The sequence below is a fragment of the Homo sapiens genome, chromosome 22, assembly GCF_000001405.40.
Source record: "Homo sapiens chromosome 22, GRCh38.p14 Primary Assembly".
NCBI classification, from domain to species: Eukaryota; Metazoa; Chordata; class Mammalia; order Primates; family Hominidae; genus Homo; species Homo sapiens.
Window position 1 is genome coordinate 20,477,007 of NC_000022.11, and position 17,813 is coordinate 20,494,819.

The window sequence follows — 17,813 nt, forward strand, 5'->3', positions numbered from 1 at the left end:
GACACAAACTTTTACCATTTTAAGAAAAAAAAAAATCTTATAATCCTTTCGGGGGCCAAGGCAGGAAGACTGCTTGAGGCCAGGACTTTAAGATTAGACTGGGCAGCCAGGCACCATGGCTCACACCTGTAATCCCAGCACTTTGGGAGGCCGAGGTGGGCAGATCACTTGAGGCCAAGAGTTCGAGACCAGTCTGGCCAACATGGTGAAACCTCATCTCTACTAAAAGTACAAAAATTAGCTGCATGGTGGTGCACACCTGTAATCTCAGCTACTTGGGTGGTTGAGGCATGAGAATCACTTGAACCTGGGAGGCGGAGGTTGCAGTGAGCTGATATCGCACCACTACTCTGTGACAGAGCAACACTGTGCCTCAAAAGAAAAAGAAAAAGAAGGGAAAAAAAAAGACCAGATGGGGCAACACAGAAAGACCCCATCTCTTAAAAAAAATTAGCTGGGCATGGTGGCACGCATCCATAATTCCATCAATTTGAAATGCTGAGGTGGGAGTGTTGCTTGAGCCCAGTATTTTGAGGCTGCAGTGAGCTATGATGACACCATTGCCCAGCCTGGGCAAAAAAGTGAGACTCTGTCTCTTAAAAAACAAAACAACACAAAAAAGTTCACTGCATGGATCATGAATGGAGGGAGGAGAAAGAAGATATGAGACATTGTGGGTGCAATTAGGAAAATCTGAACGTGGACTCAATGTCAGATGAAATTATAGAATGATTACACATTTCTTTTTCATTTTTATGTTTTTAGAGACAGGGTTGCTACGTTGCTCAAGTTGGACTTAAACTCCTGTGCTCAAGTGATCCTCCCACCTCAGCCTCCCAAATAGCTGGGACTAAAAGCACTCGCCATGGAACATGGCTCAATCATAAATTTTCTTATATCATGATAGTATTACAGGTATGTCAAAGAATCTCCTCATCCTTAGAGAGGCGAACTGAAGTTGTTAGAGATAAATTGTCATGATATCTATAACTTACTCTGAAGTGAATATGCAAAATGTTAACTGATGAATTTAAGCCAAGAGCACAGTTGTTCACTATACTTAACTTTCAACTTTTCTGTAGGATTTAAATATTTCAAAATAAAAATCAGAGAGAAAAAAGAGCCCAAAAGAAAAATAAAATATATAGTCACTCCTTTTTATTGTTTTTCTTTTTCACCAAAAATTTTACCAAATTTAATTTTTTTTTTTTTTTCTGAGGCAGAGTTTCACTCTTGTTGCCCAGGCTGGAGTGCAATGGCGCAATCTCGGCTCACCACAACCTCCAGCTCCCAGGTTCAAGCAATTATCCTACCTCAGTCTCCCGAGTAGCTGGGATTACAGGCATGCGCCACCACACCCGGCTAATTTTGTATTTTTAGAAGAGATGGGGTTTCTCCATGTTGGCCAGGCTGGTCTTGAACTCCCGACCTCAGGTGATCCACCCTCTTCAGCCTCCCAAAGTGCTGGGATTGAGCCACCAAGCCCGCCCCAAACTTAATTCTTTTTTTTTTTTTTTTTTTTTTTTGAGATGGAGTCTTGCTTTGTCACCCAGGCTGGAGTGCAGTGGCATGATCTCGGTTCACTGCAAGCTCCGCCTCCCAGGTTCACGCCTTTCTCCTGTCTCAGCCTCCCGAGTAGCTGGGACTATAGGCGCCCGCCACCACGCCTAGCTAATTTTTTGTATTTTTAGTAGAGACGGGGTTTCACAGTGTTAGCCAGGATGGTCTCGATCTCCTGACCTCGTGATCCTCCCGCCTCGGCCTCCCAAAGTGCTGGGATTACAGGCGTGAGCCACCATGCCCAGCCTCCCAAACTTAATTCTTTAAACATTCATTTTTGGGGCTGGGCGCGGTGGCTCATGCCTGTATCCCAGCACTTTGGGAGGCCGAGGTGGGCGGATCACCTGAGGTCAGGAGTTCGAGACCAACTTGGCCAACATGGTGAAACCCCGTCTCTAGTAAAAATACAAAAATTAGCTGGGTGTGGTGGCAGGCGCCTGTAATTCCAGCTACTTGGGAGGCTGAGGAACAAGAATTGCTTGAACCTGGGAGGTGGAGGTTGCAGTGAGCCGAGATGATGCCACTGCACTCCAGCCTGGGCGACAGAGTGAGATTCTGTCTCAAAAAAAAAAAATTCATTTTTGGCTCACGGCAGCCTCAACCTCCTGGGCTCAAGTGATGCTTCTGCCTCAACCTCCCAAGTAGTTGGGACTATAGGCATGCACCATCATGCCTGGCCAATTTTTAAAAAAATATATTAAAAAAAAATTATTACTACTTTTCTGTAAGTCAGGAATTATGTCAAAATAAAGACTTAAAAGTTTTAAAAAGTTGTTCACACCTCATATCCATTAGGATGACCACTATAAAAAAACAACAAAACAAACAAACAAAAAGTAGGCCGGATATGGTGGTTCACATCTATAATCTCATGTCCATAATCCCAGCACTTTGGGAGGCTGAGGTGGGAGGATTGCTTGAGCCCAGGAGTTTGAGACCAGCCTGGGAAACATAGTAAGATTCTGTCTCTACAAATAATTTTTTTAAAAAACTGGCCAGGCATGGTGGTGCATGCCTATAGTCCCAGCTACTTGGGAGGCTGAGGCAGAAGCATTGCTTGAGCCCAGGAGGTGGAGCCATGATGGTGCCCCTGAACTCCAGCCTAGGTGACAGAGCAAAATCCTGTCTCAAAAAACAAAACAAACAAAAAACCAGAAAATAACAAGCTTTAGCAAGGATGTGGAGAAACTATAACCCTTGTGCACTGTTGGTGGGAATGAAAAGTGGTGCAACTGCTATGTTCCTCAGAAAATTGTCAATAGAATGATCTAGCAATTCCACTTCTGGGAATATAGCCAAAGAACTGAAAGCAGAGTCTCAGACATTTGCACACCCATGTTCATAGCAGCATTATACACAATAGACAAGAGATGGAAGCAAACCAAGTATCCCTTGATAGGTGAATAGACAAACAAAATGTGGTATATCCATAAAATGGCACACTATTCAGCCTTCAAAATGAAGGAAATCAGGTCACATGTTATAACACACATGAACCTTAAGGACACGATGCCAAATGAAATAAGCAAGTGATAAAGGGCTAATGCTGTATGATTCTACTTATGAGGTACTTAGAATAGTTTAATTCATAGAGACAGAAAGTAGAATGGTAGCTGCCAGGGCCTGGGGGTAAAGGAGAAAAGGGAGTTGTGGTTTAGTGGGTATAGAGTTTCAGATTTGTAAGATAAAAAAGTTCTGGAGATCTGTTTCGTAATAATGTGAATAATCGTAATATTACTGAACTAGATGGTAAGTGTTATTTGTGTTTATTATTTTAGAACCACAATTTTAAAAAATTGTTCACCAAGTACCCAGTAGCAGGGGAATGACCAAATAAATAGAGGACATCGACAGCACGGAACACTCCACAGCACAGAGAGTGAGGGCCATCTCTACTGCTGGTGCCTGGGACCTCCAGGATGTCACAGGTACAGAATGGCAAACCAGTATGCTGCCTCTGGTGTGAGATGGGGGAGAAAAATATTTCTTGGGTCAGCTTGTTCAGGTCCTCGATCCCTTGTCCAAACTCTTTAAATCAAGTGTATTTTAGAATTCAGAAGGTTCCAACGTGAGAAATACTGTACACATGCCACATAGGATCTTATATCCCACGGGATCTGGGTCGGTGCCTCCTCTTCAAACACCTTAATATGCCCCCCAAAAAAGTATAAAGACTCACACTAGGATAAAAAATATAATTAGCCTCGAAAATAATTTTGAGTTTTGGGTGGGTTCCGTGGCTTAATGAGTTTACGCCAAACTTTTTTTTTTTTTTTTTTTTTTGAGACGGAGTCTTGCTCTGTCGCCCAGGCTGGAATGCAGTGGCGCGATCTCGGCTCACTGCGAGCTCCGCCTCCTGGGTTCACGCCATTCTCCTGCCTCAACCTCCCGAGTAGCTGGGACTACAGGCACCCGCCACCATGCCCGGCTAATTTTTTGTATTTTTAGTAGAGACGGGGTTTCACCATGTTAGCCAGGATGGTCTCGATCTCCTGACCTCGTGATCCGCCTGCCTCGGCCTCCCAAAGTACTGGGATTACACGCGTTGGCCACCGCGCCCGGCCTACGCCAAACATTTCTTTAAGACGTTTGGCTGGGCCAAAGTTAGCTGAGTTATTTCAGTTGATTGTTCATAGTCAGTAACAGATCAAACTCATTCGTCTCTGTCCCCCCTTCTCACTACTGCACTTAACTAGTCTAAAAAATAATAATAGATAAAAATAGGCCGGGCACGGTGGCTCACGCCTATAATCCCAGCACTTTGGGAGGCCAAGGTGGGTGGATCACCTGTGGTCAGGAGTTCAAGACCAGCCTGGCCGACATGGTGAAACCCTGTCTCTTTCAAAAAATACAAAAATTAGCCGGGTGTGGTGGCATGCACCTGTACTCACAGCTACTCAGGAAGCTGAGGTGGGAGAATCACTTGAACCTGGTAGGCGGAGGTTGCAGTGAGCAGGGATCATGCCACTGCACTCCCGCCCGGGCGACAGAGAGAGACTCCATCTCAAAATAAAAAAAAATTAAAAAAAAATTTTTTTTTCTTTTGTAAACGGAGTCTTGCTCTGTCGCGCAAGCTGGACTGTAGTGGGACCATCTTGGCTTGGCTCGGCTCACTGCAGCTTCAACCTCCAGGCTCAAGCAATCCTCTCACCTCAGCCTCCCAAGTAGTGGGGACTACAGGTGTGTGCCACTGTGCCCAGCTAATATTTGTATTTTTTGTAGAGATAGGGTTTTGCCATGTTGCCTAGGCTAATCTCAAACTCCAGGACTGAACTGATCTGCCCACCCCAGTCTCCCAAGGTGCTAGGGTTATAGGTGTGAGCCACCCTGCCCAGCCCCAAAAGTTTTTTGGTTTTTGTTTGTTTTTGAGAGATGGACCCTTGCTATGGTGTCCAGGCTGCAGTGCAGTGACATGATCCCACTACTCAACAGCATGGGAGTTTTGACCTGGTCCATTTCCATCCTGGGCCGGTTCACACCTCTTTTTAGGCAACCCTGCTCCAGGAAGGTCACCATATTGATGCCAAATTTAGTGTGGATACCCTGTTGGCATGGCACACTGCAACCCAGAACTTCTGGGCTCAAGCAATCCTCCGGCCTATTCTCCCAAGTAGCTGAGACTATAGGTTTGAGCCACCACGCCCTGCTCAAAAAACTTTTTAACTGTGAGAATGGATGCTGAATGTTATCACATGCCTGCTCACCATGTCTGCAGATATGCTATATAGACACGTATGCAGATATGTTGGGTTGTCATGAATTGATGGAATGCCATGATTCCCTGGCATGTAACTAGTAAGACAGATTCCCTAGCATGAAACCAATTTTTTTTTTTTGAGACAAGGTCTTGCTGTGTCACCCAGGCTGGAGTGCAGTGGCACACTCACAACTCATGGCTCACTGTAGCCTTGACCTCCCCAGGTTTAAGTGATCCTCCCACCTCGGCCTCCCCAGAAGCTGAGACTACAGGCATGCCTGGCTAATTTATGTTTTGTTTTGTTTGTTTGTTTTTCTTTTTTTTTTTGAGACGGAGTCTCACTCTGTCGCCCAGGCTGGTGTGCAGTGGTGCGATCTCGGCTCACTGCAACCTCCGCCTCCCAGGTTCAAGCGGTACTTCTGCCTCAGCCTCCCAAGTAGCTGGGATTACAGGCATGCACCACAACACCTGGCTAATTTTTGTATTTTTTTTTGACCTCTGAACTTTTTATTGGCCTCCTGCTCCCCAAAGGATACCCTGCTTCTGGTGGCTTAATGTCTCAGAACTTTGGTGTCATTGGTCTCAGACACCACTTTGCCATCCATTATCTGGCAGGTGGTGGTCTTTTGGATGGTTTGCATGGAGTTGCTGCTGTCCAGGGCATCACCAAGACTGAAGTCCTCGCCATCTTCCAGCAGGCGGCAGTAGGTGGTGATCTTAGCCTCCAGCTTGACCTTAACGTTCACCAGGGCGTCCTACTCCTAGGCCTGGCACTGTCCCTCTGCCCGGATTTGTGCCACCTCTGACTCCAGGTGCAGCAGGATCCCATTGAGCTGCTCCATCTACAGGGCATAGAAGGCCTCCACCTCCCTGAGGCTGTTCTACAAGCTGGCCTTCAGATTTCTCAAGGAGTCCAGGTTGATCTCCAAGGACTGGACGTACGTCTCAACTCCGTGATTGTCATCTCAGCAGTTCCAACCTCAGTGGACTGCATGGTGACCACTGTGGTGCTCTCCTCAATCTGCTGAGACCAGTACTTGTCCAGCTCCTGTCGTTTCTTCCGAGCCAGCTCATCATATTGAGCCTGGATGTCTGCCACGATCTTGGCAAGGTCCTGAGATTTGGGGGCATCTACCTCCACAGTCAACCCAGAGCTGGCAATCTGGTCTTGTAGGCCTTTTACTTCCTCTTCATGGTTCTTCTTCATGAAGAGCAGCTCCTCCTTGAGAGCTTCGATCTCTGTCTCCAGCTACAGCTGAGGGACATTGGTGTCATCAATCACTTTGCGAAGCCCATGTATGTCGCTCTCCACAGACTAGTGCATGGGCAGTTCTGTCTCATACTTGACTCTAAAGTCATCAGCAGCAAGACGGGCATTGTCGATCTACAGAAAGATACGGGCGTTGTCCACAGTATTTGCAAAGATCTGAGCCCTCAGGTCCTCGATGGTCTTGAAGTAATGCCTCCAGTCTCTGATCTGGGTCCCTTCTTCTCCAAGTGCTTCTGGATTTTGCTCTCCAGCTTCCGGTTCTCGGTCTCCAGGCTCCTCGCTCTGTCCAGGTAGGAGGCCAGGCGGTCATTCAGGCTTTGTATGGTCTCCTTCTCATTCTGGATGCTTCCCATTCCTGCCAGATCCCCAGCCATCCCCGCGGCCAGGCCCCCAGACCCCATGCAGCCCTGGAAGCTGGTGGAGCGGGACACGAAGATCCAGGAACCAGAGCCCTCGGTGCCTGCATAGACGCTGGCCACGCTGCTGACCAGCCAGGCGCCATAGCTGGGAGCCTGGACAGAGCCCAGGGACCAGTAGTTGGTGGAGAAGGTAGAGCGAGTGGTGAAGCTCATGCTGTCCGGGGAGGAGAGCAAGAGGACAGGACTCAGGCTTTGCTGATGACCTAATTTTTGTATTTTTAGTAGAGACGGGGTTTCGCCATGTTGGCCAGGCTGGTCTCCAACTCTGGACCTCAGGTGATCCACCCGCCTCAGCCTCCCAAAGTGCTAGGATTACAGGCATGAGCCACCGTGCCCAGCTTTGTTTGTTTTTTGCTTTTTGAGGCAGAATCTCACTCTCTCATCCAGTCTGGAGTGCAGTGACGCGATCTCAGCTCACTACAACCTCCACCTCCCAGGCTCAAGCGATTCTTGAGCCTCACCCTCCTGAGTAGCTAGAATTACAGGTGTGCACCACTACGCCCAGCTAATTTTTGTATTTTTAGTAGAGATGGGTTTTTGCCATGTTGGCCACACTGGTCTTGAACTCCTGGCCTCAAGTGATCTGCCGGCCTTGGGCACCCATTGTGCTGGGATTACATGCATGAGCCACTGTGACCAGCTCTAATTTTTGTATTTTTTGTAAACATGGGGTTTCGTCACGTTGCCCAGGCTGGTCTCGAACTCTTGGGCTCAAACAATCTGCCCACCTTGGCCTTGCAAAACGCTGGGATTATAGGTGTGAGCCACTGTGCTCAGCCTTTTTTTTTTTTTTTTTACGAGAAAAGAGGTCTCTTACTTTGTCATCCAAGCGAGAGTGCAGTGGCATGATCATGGCTCACTGCAGCCTCAACCTCTCAAGCTCAAGCTATCCTCCCTCCTCAGCCTCCCAAGTAGCTGGGACTATAGGCCACGCCACCATGCCCAGCTAATTAAAAAAAATTTTTTTTTCTTTTTCTGAAACTGCTCTGAAAAAATTTAAATGGCATTGGAGTCTTTTCATAAAAGGCACACCTACCCTGGAAAACATCTGGGCTTTGTGTTTTGTGGGGAATACAACTTTCTCTCTCTTTTGGGGATAAAGTGCTATTAATTTTTTAAAAATAAAATCATCAATTGTATCCAAACTTTTAAAGTAACAGACATTGAGTTCAGCTAAGCAGTCTTTTATAATTCACAGATGGAATGAAAACTAAGGGAGGGACGAGGTGACCCATGGAGGTTGTATAAAAAGGACAGAGCCTTTGGGCTCTTCAGACTATAAGGGTCCAGGAGGAGAGGAGAAACCACCTCAGAAGCATACAAGGTTAAAGCATACAAGGTGGGTGTAGGGTCAGGGGAGCCAAAGTAAGTGTGCAATGAAAAGTTATTAACAAAAGTCAAAAAAAGAAAATGCAGTCTGGCCATCCAATTCCTAAACCATGTACAGAGTACACAGAAAGAGCACAGGAGGCTTCCTGCAGCAGGGCAGTACAGCTCTCTGCCCTTCAGGAAAACTGAGATTCCTCCACCTGGGAAACAGCAAGGGACAATTAGGGAAAGCTCTCCAGAGGAGGAGGCATCTCAGGTGGGCCAAAGAAGAAAAATTTCCACAGGACAGAAAAGGCAGAGAAGAGGCCAGGCATGGTGGCTCACGTCTGTAATCCGAACACTTTGGGAGGCCAAGGCAGGCGGATCACCTGAGGTCAGGAGTTGGAGACCAGCCTGGCCAACATGGCAAAACCCCGCCTCTACTAAAAATACAAAAATTAGCCGGGTTTGGTGGCACACGTCTGTAATCCCAGCTACTCAGGAGGCTGAGGCAGGAGAATCACTTGAACCCGGGAGGCAGAGGTTGCAGTGAGCCGAGATTGCCCCACTGCACTTCAGCCTGGGGGACAGGGCGAGACTCCATCTCAAAACAAACAAACAAAAGGCTGGGCGTGGTGTGGCTCACACCTGTCATCCCAGCACTTTGGGAGGCCAAGGAGGGCAAATCACAAGGTCAGGAGTTCGAGATCAGCCTGGCCAACATGGTGAAACCCTGTCTCTACTAAAAATACAAAAAATTAGCCGGGCGTGGTGGCGCACACCTGTAGTCCCAGCTACTCGAGAGGCTGAGGCAGGAGAATTGCTTGAACCCGGAGGCAGAGGTTGCAGTGAGCCGAGATCACACCACTGCACTCCAGCCTGGGTGACAGAGTGAGATTCCGTCTCAAAAAAAAAAAAAAAAAAAGAAATTTATGTTCTTTGTAAAATAATTCAGACAATGCAGTAAACAGAAGAAATTCAGCCTCCCTCTCCCTTTGCCCTTTGCTGAGTCCCCACGGTGCAGCAAGATCCTTCCAGATCTTCATGGTTGGGATCATCTTCCACCAGGTCCTGAGGTTTTTCACTCCCTATCAGTAGACACACCACACTGCCCAGTTTGCAAGTAGCTCCATTGGATAACACAGAAAGGCTCTGTCCTGCACCATGTCTCAGCACTGGGTGCATCGTCCCACAGGAATGACACCTAGACACCCAACATACAACTGCAGGGCCCTAAACTATGGGCCAGCCCACCCCTAAATGCCCTTCTCTCTACCCTTGCCCATATCAAATATTACAAGCCTCTCACACATATTTACCAGTCATACTGGGAAAAAAATAGTCCTTTATCATTTTAACATTTCACAAGTAACTAAAACAAATAATAAACATGCTAACACTTGGGAATGGTCTATTTCTTTTCTTTTTTTTTTTTTTTGAGACGGAGTTTCATTCTTGTTGCCCAGGCTGGAATGCAGTGGCGCAATCTCGGCTCACTGCAACCTCCGCCTCCCGGGTTCAAGCAATTCTCCTGCTTCAGCCTCCTGAGTAGCTGGGATTACAGGCATGTGCTACCACGCCCAGCTAATTTTGTATTTTTAGTAGAGACAGGGTATTGCCATGTGGGTCAGGCTGGTCTCCAACTCCTGACCTCAAGTTATCCGCCCTCCTTGGCCTCCCGAAGTGCTGGAATTATAGGAGTGAGCCACCAAGCCTGGCCTCTTTCTAGGCTCACTGCAACCTCCGCCTCCTGGGTTCAAGTGATTCTCCTGCCTCAGCCTCCCAAGTAACTGGGATTACAGGCATGTGCCACCACGCCCCGCTAGTTTTTGTATTTTTAGCAGAGACGGAGTTTCACTATGTTGGCCAGGCTGGTCTCGAACTACTAATCTCAGGTGATCCACCCGCCTCGGCCTCCCAAAGTTCTAGGATTACAGGCGTGAGCCACTACATCCAGCCTCTTTTTTGTTTTTTTGAAACAGGGTCTTGCTCTGTCACCCAGGCTGGAATGCAGTGGCACAATCTCGGCTCACTGCAACCTCCGCATCCTGTGTTCAAGCAACTCTCCTGCCTCAGCCTCCCAAGTAGCTGGGATTACAGGCGCCCACCACTACACCCAGCTAATTTTTTTTTTTTTTTTTAGTAGAGACAGGGTTTCACCATGTTGGCCAGGCTAGTCTCAAACTCCTGGCCTCAAGTGATCCACCTGCCTTGGCCTCCCAAAGTGCTGGGATTACAGGTGTGAGCCACCGTGACTGGCCTCTATTTCTTATTTATACATACACACACACACCCCCCTGTGAAATGACTCTGGGCTCTTCCAATAATGTTGCCACTCTCCCGCTCCCCTTCCCAATGGAAGTGGAGGGATGCAGGGGGTGTTAGTGATGCATTGTAATCATCCCGGAGAGCAGGACACCTCTCATAAGAGGTTTACCCAAGGGGGGCTGTGGAAAGGGCTAGAAATTGCTCCTGGAGGACGTGGAAAGCCACATAAGGTTTTTGACAGATTAGCGAAAGGCTGCCTACACTGTCATCTTCAGAAAGAGTGGTATGACACTAAATCAAGAAGGGCTGAGAGGGTGAGCCCAGGGGATCCCATAGGCTCCACAGCCTCTGGCCATCCTCTCCTATACAGGTCCTAAGTCCCCTGCAGGGGGCCCTCAGCTCCTCTACCCTACCCACTGTCCTGTATGTTATCTTAATGCTTATTAAAGGCCTCAGCTGAATTTCCCTGGTGAACTGAAAGAATTCTGCTGCTCCTGGACACATCTGCACCAAGCCACCACTGGGTCACATTCTCCAAAACTCCTTTTGGAGACAGAAGGCACTTAAACCATACATATTTTGCTTGATAGTTCCTAATTAAAAAAATAGAGAGAGATAAAGAGAAAGAGAGAGAGAGAGAACTACAACTAAGCCTTGAAGACAAAATGATTGAACAGAATCAGAGCTAGAATGGAACACCTCAGGCTTGGAGTCCCATGACAACCTTGCTGGGGACCACGAGTGGCCCTCAGTCCTTCTCAGGCTCATGCCACCTATGTGAAATAAGGGTGGTGACACCCACCTCCTTGAGTGCAGAGCAGTGCAGACAACAGGGCAAATGGTGTATTGATCTGCTATCTGTGTACATAAATTTATTCATTTAAGCCATGGGTATTGTTTGAATATGTGAAAACCATGTCAGGTGCTAGGGATAAGAGACAGATTCCAACCCAGTGGAAAAGACAGATAAGCCAGTGGTTCCTCACACTGTGCCAAGTGCTGGGATGGGGTCACGAAGGAGGCCATAAGAAACCCCAGAGGGGCCACAGAGCTCACTGGGAGGGCCAGAGGCTAACACCTGAGGGATGAGAGGTGTGAGCCAGAAGGTGATGCATACACAGCAATAATTACTGACGGAGGGGAGGAATGGTAAGGGAGGGGAGGAGAGAAAGGAGGAAAGAAAAGAGAAAAGAAAAGAGAGAGAAAAGGAAAAGAAAAGGAAGAGAAGAGAGGGAAGAGAAGAGGAGGCAAAGCCCAAGAAACAGGATCACTGAATGAAAAATGAACTCTAAGACCCCCTTCTGTCTCTCACACTTGTTGACTAAGTCATAGCCACAAGGAGTAGGGGAGGCTCTGAGGTGAGCAGGAGACCAGCCACTGTCACCGCCAGTACCTTTACTAGCAGAGCCAGGATTACCTTTGTTATTCTTCTTACAAACAGCTCTAGTGAACTCACCTGAAGTAATCGCAGGACGCAGCCAGCAGGATGCGATGGGCCTCGATGTGTCTGCCCTCCACCACCAGCACAACATCGAAGAGGATTCCGCTGTCCCGGAGAGCCAGCAGCCCTCGGAGCAGAGCCTGGGAGTGCTGTGCGCTGCGGTAGGTGTTGTTCACGCAGTGTGGGTGTGAGGGCTGTGCAGGCAACTTGCAGAGCTGGGTGAACTCCTGCTCCTCTGCCATCCTGACAGCCACAAGATCCCTTACAACTGTGGCCTGACAGTTGGCAAAACAGGGGACAGGGGTGAGCAGGCAGGCATCAGCCCCACCACACACAGACTGGCCAGCTCTGTTGCTCCCCTTGCTCCTGTGCCTCCCTCAGGCTCACCTGTTTTCCCTCTATTTCCAAATCCCCTAATTCCTTCTCCCCTCCCACCTCTAGTCCAACTTCCTGATGGCCTTCTTCCTGATGACCTGTGTGCCATCATGCCCAAGACTCTTCATCTCATTGTATCTTCTTCAGCGGCAAAGTCAAACAGAAGGGTTTTGGGAAACAGACTGACCTGGGTTGGAGCCCAACTCCACAGGGACTTACAACATGACCAAACTGAGCCTCGAGCTCCCCAATTTTAAAAAGAGAGATAAAAGTACCTACCCCATTGGGGTATTCTAAAATTGGTAAAACAATGAACATGAAGCATAAGCACACACCAGGTTCTCAAGAGCTCTTCCTCCCTCCCATTGAATGAACAAAATTGGGTTCTTCCTCATAGTAATGGATGCATAAAAATGGCAAGACCTGAGTAGTGGTCAGGAGACACACAGCCAGGAGTCTGGGAGGTGGGTGCCAAGGGGGTGGCATTTCCAGGGCCTACTTTCCTTTACTGAAATTCTGAGAGTCAAGCACAGTAACTGTGATTGAACCTGATGCATTTAAATTCATCTGCATTGCCTTTTAAATTAAAGATTATCTTCTAATAATTGAGTCAGTACGTTCAAAAACCGCAAACTGATTTGAATTGGAGCCTCTAAAACCTAATCAGTAAAATGAACCTACTGCAAATGCACTTTTGCCATGGAGCAACCAAAAGTGACTGTGGATAGCCAGCTGTTCAGGTCAGGGAGTGGCCAGTCCCACACTGTGAGGCATGGCCAAGCTGCAGGCTCTGTAGGCACAGCACAGTCAGCTACAAGATGTGAACATCTGTCTTCTCCACCTCACTTCATCCTACTTTCCTCTCCCCAAAATATGTTTATTCTCCAATTACCTCCAGTCATGCATCACTTAATGTTGGGGATACATTCTGAGACTTATATCGCTGGAGGCAATTTCCTCAGTGTGTGAACATCAAAGGGTACACCTACACAAACCTAGGTGGTAGAGACTACTACACATCTAGGCCATAAGGTACAGCCAATTGCTCCTAAGCTACATACTTGTACAGCATGTTACTGTAGTTCTGAATGAAAAAAACACACTGTTTTTCCTCTCCTCTTATACCACAACAACAAACACAGGAGACTTCTGTGACCAAATGTGTGAGGGTTTTTCCCCATTAACAAGCAAGCAATCAATTCTGCCACAGATACCAGCTGGGTGTCTTCTAATTCAGCAGTCCCCAATCTTTTTGGCACTAGGGACCACTTTCTTGGAAGACAATTTTTCCACGGGGTCGGGGAATGGTTTCGGGATCAAACTGTTCCACCTCAGATTATCAGGCATTAGCTAGATTCTCTTTCGGAGCACACAATCTGGACCCCTCACATGCATGGTTCACAACAGGGTTTGTGCTCCTATGAGAATCTGATGCCACCTCTGATCTGACAGGAGGTGGAGCTCAGGTGGTAATGCTGGATCACCCTCCACTCACCTCCTGTTGTGCCACCTGGTTCCTAACCAGCCACAGACTGATACAGGTCTGAGGCCTGGGGGTTGCGGACCCCTGCTCTAATTCAACTCTAACACTACCTGGAGACAGTGTCTGATCCCACAGGTTGAGGGCTGAGTCTCCCAGGTTGTTTCACCTGTGCTTCTGACCAATAGGCTATAAATTGGGTTCCCAAGATCCCCTTCTTGGGTTCAACTAATTTGTTAGAGCGACTCACAGAACTCAGGAAAATACTCATGTCTACTGGTTTGTTATAAAGGGTATTGCAAAGGATACAGATGAAGAGATGCATGGGGCCAGACATGTGGGAAGTGGTGCAGAGCTTCCAGGCCCTCTCCAGGAACATCACTCTTTAGGAGCCTCCATGTGTTCAACTATCCAGAAGTTTTCCAAACCCAGTCATTCAGAATTTTTATGGAAGCTTCATTATGTAGGCATGACTGATTAAATCACTGGCCATTGGTGATGAACTTAATCTTCAGCCTGTCTCCCCTCTCCGGAGGTTGAGAGGTGAGGCTGAAAGTCCCAACCCTCTTATGCCTGCCTTGGCCTTTCCTGTCACCAGCCCCCATCCTGAAGCTACCTAGGGGCTGCTGGCCAGCATACAAAAAGGCATCACTCTGGAAAGTCCAAAGATTTTAGAAGTTGTATGCCAAGAAATGAGACAAGACCAAATATATATTTCACAATATCACAGTACTGAATACTATAGGCAACTGTAACACAATGGAATTTGTGTATCTAAACACAGACAAGGTACAGTAAAAATATGGGACCACCATCCTTCATGTGGTCTGGTCTGTCATTGACGGAAACATCACTGTGTGGCACATGATTATATATCTTTAAAAGAAAAAATGAAAAATATATGCTGATATAAAACTTGCCAAAAAGAAGAGGTCTCTCTCTTCACTACTGAGGCTCAGGGCCACCCCCAACCCCATCCCCTGGATGCTCTACTGCTTCCCATCAAACACACTCAGTTATCTGTGCCTGCCCCTGAGTCTGCCTCCAGGACCTGGGACCTCTATCCAGCCACCCACCCATTCCTTTCCCCCTCCTGGGCTGGCTCATCTTTCTCACCAAGGCCCCAGAGATGGCCACAGCCAAGGTGTATACCCCATGACCACCTCTCACTTAGGATTCTCTTGCCTGGAAACTCTGCTCTATGATAATTCTCCCTTTTCTGACCTCTCTCTTTCATCCCACACACCCTGCTCGAGCCCATCCTTCTTTCCCAGTGGTTCACATTCCCAGTTTCACCTACAGCTCAGTGCCTAATCTAGCTAGTAGCCCTCCAACTTGTCTAATTTTACTATCAAAGCTACCATTTCCATCTTGGAAACCTCACTGTTTTAATATTTTTCCTTTCTAACCCATGTGCCCTATGAACCTACTAGTTCTGATTCCTTCACCTCTCCTCCATCTCAGACAGCCACCCTCCACTCCTCCAGGGCCACCACTCTGGGTCAGACCACAGCAGTGATGCCCCTACCAGTTTCCCTACCTCTTGTCTCATCCTCCCCAGGCTGCTCTCCTTCAAGCCTTACCTACTCAGCCCCATCAGCAGTCCTTAGTCCAAAAGGGATACCTGTCATCCCCTGAACACCTTTAGTCACCCATCTAGGCCATTCTGTCTCTCATAGTCCCATATTGGTCAAGGTCTAGCTCGATTACTTCTCCCTCTATCATTGTACAGAGAACATGACAAATATGCCCCACCATTCAAACCTGCCCTTTTTTTTTTTTTTAGACGGAGTCTCGCTCTGTCACCCAGGCTAGAGTGCAGTGGTGTGATCTTGGCTCACTGCAACCTCTGCCTCTCAGGTTCAAGTGATTCTCCTGCCTCAGCCTCCCCAGTAGCTGGGATTACAGGCGTGCACCACCACACCCAGCTAATTTTCTTGCATTTTTAGCAGAAATGGGGTTTCACCATGTTGGTCAGGCTGGTCTCGCATTCCTGACCTCAGGTGATCCATCTGCCTTGACCTCCCAAAGTGCTGGGATTACAGGCATGAGCCACCGCGCCCGGCCCAAACCTGCCTATTTACCCACGACAAGGAGATTCCGGCTTCTTGAGGGGTGAGGTTTTATCTCACAAACATCTCAAAAGCCCCCATGGCTGGCTGTACCACTTGCTAATGACAGACTCTGGGCACTTGTCTCATATACCCACGCCTCAGCTTTCTCATCACCACCATGACCACCGCAGAGTCAAGAGGGCCTCCTTCTCTGAGGGTGACCTCCACAACTACCCCAATAGACATCAAGCCCCCAGGTGGATCCTCACCTTCCGTGAGCATAGTAGTGCCTCTGCTCTCTTGGGAAGGGATAAATGGCAGCTACTCCCTAAACCCATACTGCAAAAACAAGTACGGTAAAACAGAAAGACATCTTCCATGGGCAGGCAAAGCACATTTACCAAGTCCAATTTAAGAAACTTAGCTAGGGGCTAAGGGGGATATGCTGAAAAATGAATCAATTCTCTGCTGGGAAGGAGCACAGCACAGGGTGCAACATTTAAAACATTTAAAACCACATCTATACGGTTTTAAATCACCAAAACGTCCACCCTCAGGAGAACAGATGTCATGGCACAGTGATCTGACAGAACATTAGGCAACAGTCAAAATGCGCAAAGTGGCCGGGCGCAGTGGCTCACGCCTGTAATCCCAACACTTCGGGAGGCTGAGGCGGATGAATCACGAGGTCAGGAGTTCAAGACCAGCCTGGCCAACATAGTGAAACCCCATCTCTACTAAAAATACAAAAAAATTAGCCGGGCATGGTGGTAGGTGCCTATAATCCCAGCTACTTGGGAGGCTGAGGCAGGAGAATCACGCCACTGCATTCCAGCCTGCATGACAGTGCGAGACTCCGTCTCAAAAACAAAAAAACAAACAAAAAAACAATGTGCAAAGTAGGCTGGGCACAGTGGCTCATGCCTGTAATCCCAGCACTTTGGGAGGCCAACGTGGGAGGATCACCTGAGGTCAGGAGTTCAAGACCAGCCTGGCCAACATGAGGAAGCCCCATCTCTACTAAAAATACAAAAATTAGTGGGGCGTGGTGGCGCATGCCTGTTATCCCAGCTACTGGGAAGGCTGAGGAAGGGGGAAGCTGAGGCAGGAGAATCGATTGAACCCAGGAGGTGGAGGTTGCAGTGAGCCAAGATTGTGCCATTGCACTCCAGCCTGGGCGACAGAGCCAGACTTTGCCCCCCCCCCAAAAAAAAAAGTGCAAAGTAGGCTGGGCATGGTGGCTCATGCCTGTAATCCCAGTGCCTTGGGAGGTCCAGGTAGGTGGAGTTCAAGACCACCTTGGGCAATATAGCGCGACCCTTTCTCTACAAAAAATTTAAAAATTAACTAGGCATGGTGGTGTACACCTGTAGTCCTGGCTATCTGGGGTGAGACAGCTTGGGGTTCACTGCAGTCTCAAGCTCCCAGGTTCAAGTGATCCTCCCACCTCAGCTTCCTCAGAAGCTGGAACAACAGGAGCTCACCACTGCGCCCGGCTAATTTTTCAAATTTTCTTTGTAGAGAAGAGGTTTCACTATATGGTGTAGGCTAGAGTGCAGTGGTAGGGTCTTGGCTCACTGCAGCCTTCATCTCCTGGGTTCAAGCGATTCTCCTACCTCAGCCTCCCGAGTAGCTGGGATTACAAGCACGTGTCACCACACCCAGCTAATTTTTGTATTTTTAGTAGAGACGGGGTTTCACCATGTTGGCCAGGCTAGTCTCTCCTGACCTCAGGTGATCTGCCAGCCTTGGCCTCCCAAAGTGCTGGGATTACAGGCATGAGCCACCGCGCCCGCCCCCAGTCTCATATCCCCAATTTTAGTCATCACAAGCCAAGTTCCCCGTTTTGTACTGTTCGAAGTTTCAGTGGGGAGAAGAAAGGAAGCTTAATGTGCCACATAGCTACAAACTGAAGGATACAAGATGAATTTTTATGAAGTG

General features: G+C 48.1%; 1 protein-coding gene and 2 pseudogenes across 11 annotated transcripts in view; all 3 read right to left on the bottom strand.

The window, feature by feature from the left end:
- KLHL22 (kelch like family member 22) overlaps positions 1–17,813 on the bottom strand; it is a 54,277-nt gene that overhangs the window by 35,488 nt on the left and 976 nt on the right. For 3 of the 11 annotated variants that reach the window (NR_033825.2, XR_001755341.3, NM_032775.4), the window contains exon 2: positions 11,979–12,238. The exons of 1 other annotated variant lie outside the window; for it this stretch is intronic. Coding sequence is in view for 7 of the 10 variants with exons in the window: in NM_032775.4 (NP_116164.2) it covers positions 11,979–12,205 (227 nt within the window). In the remaining 3 variants the exon portion in view is untranslated. 7 more of the 11 variants (XM_017029018.3, XM_017029021.3, XM_017029020.3 and 4 more) reach the window with 6 other exon arrangements.
- On the bottom strand, positions 4,929–5,207 carry RN7SL812P (RNA, 7SL, cytoplasmic 812, pseudogene; annotated as a pseudogene).
- KRT18P5 (keratin 18 pseudogene 5) lies at positions 5,750–7,149 on the bottom strand (annotated as a pseudogene).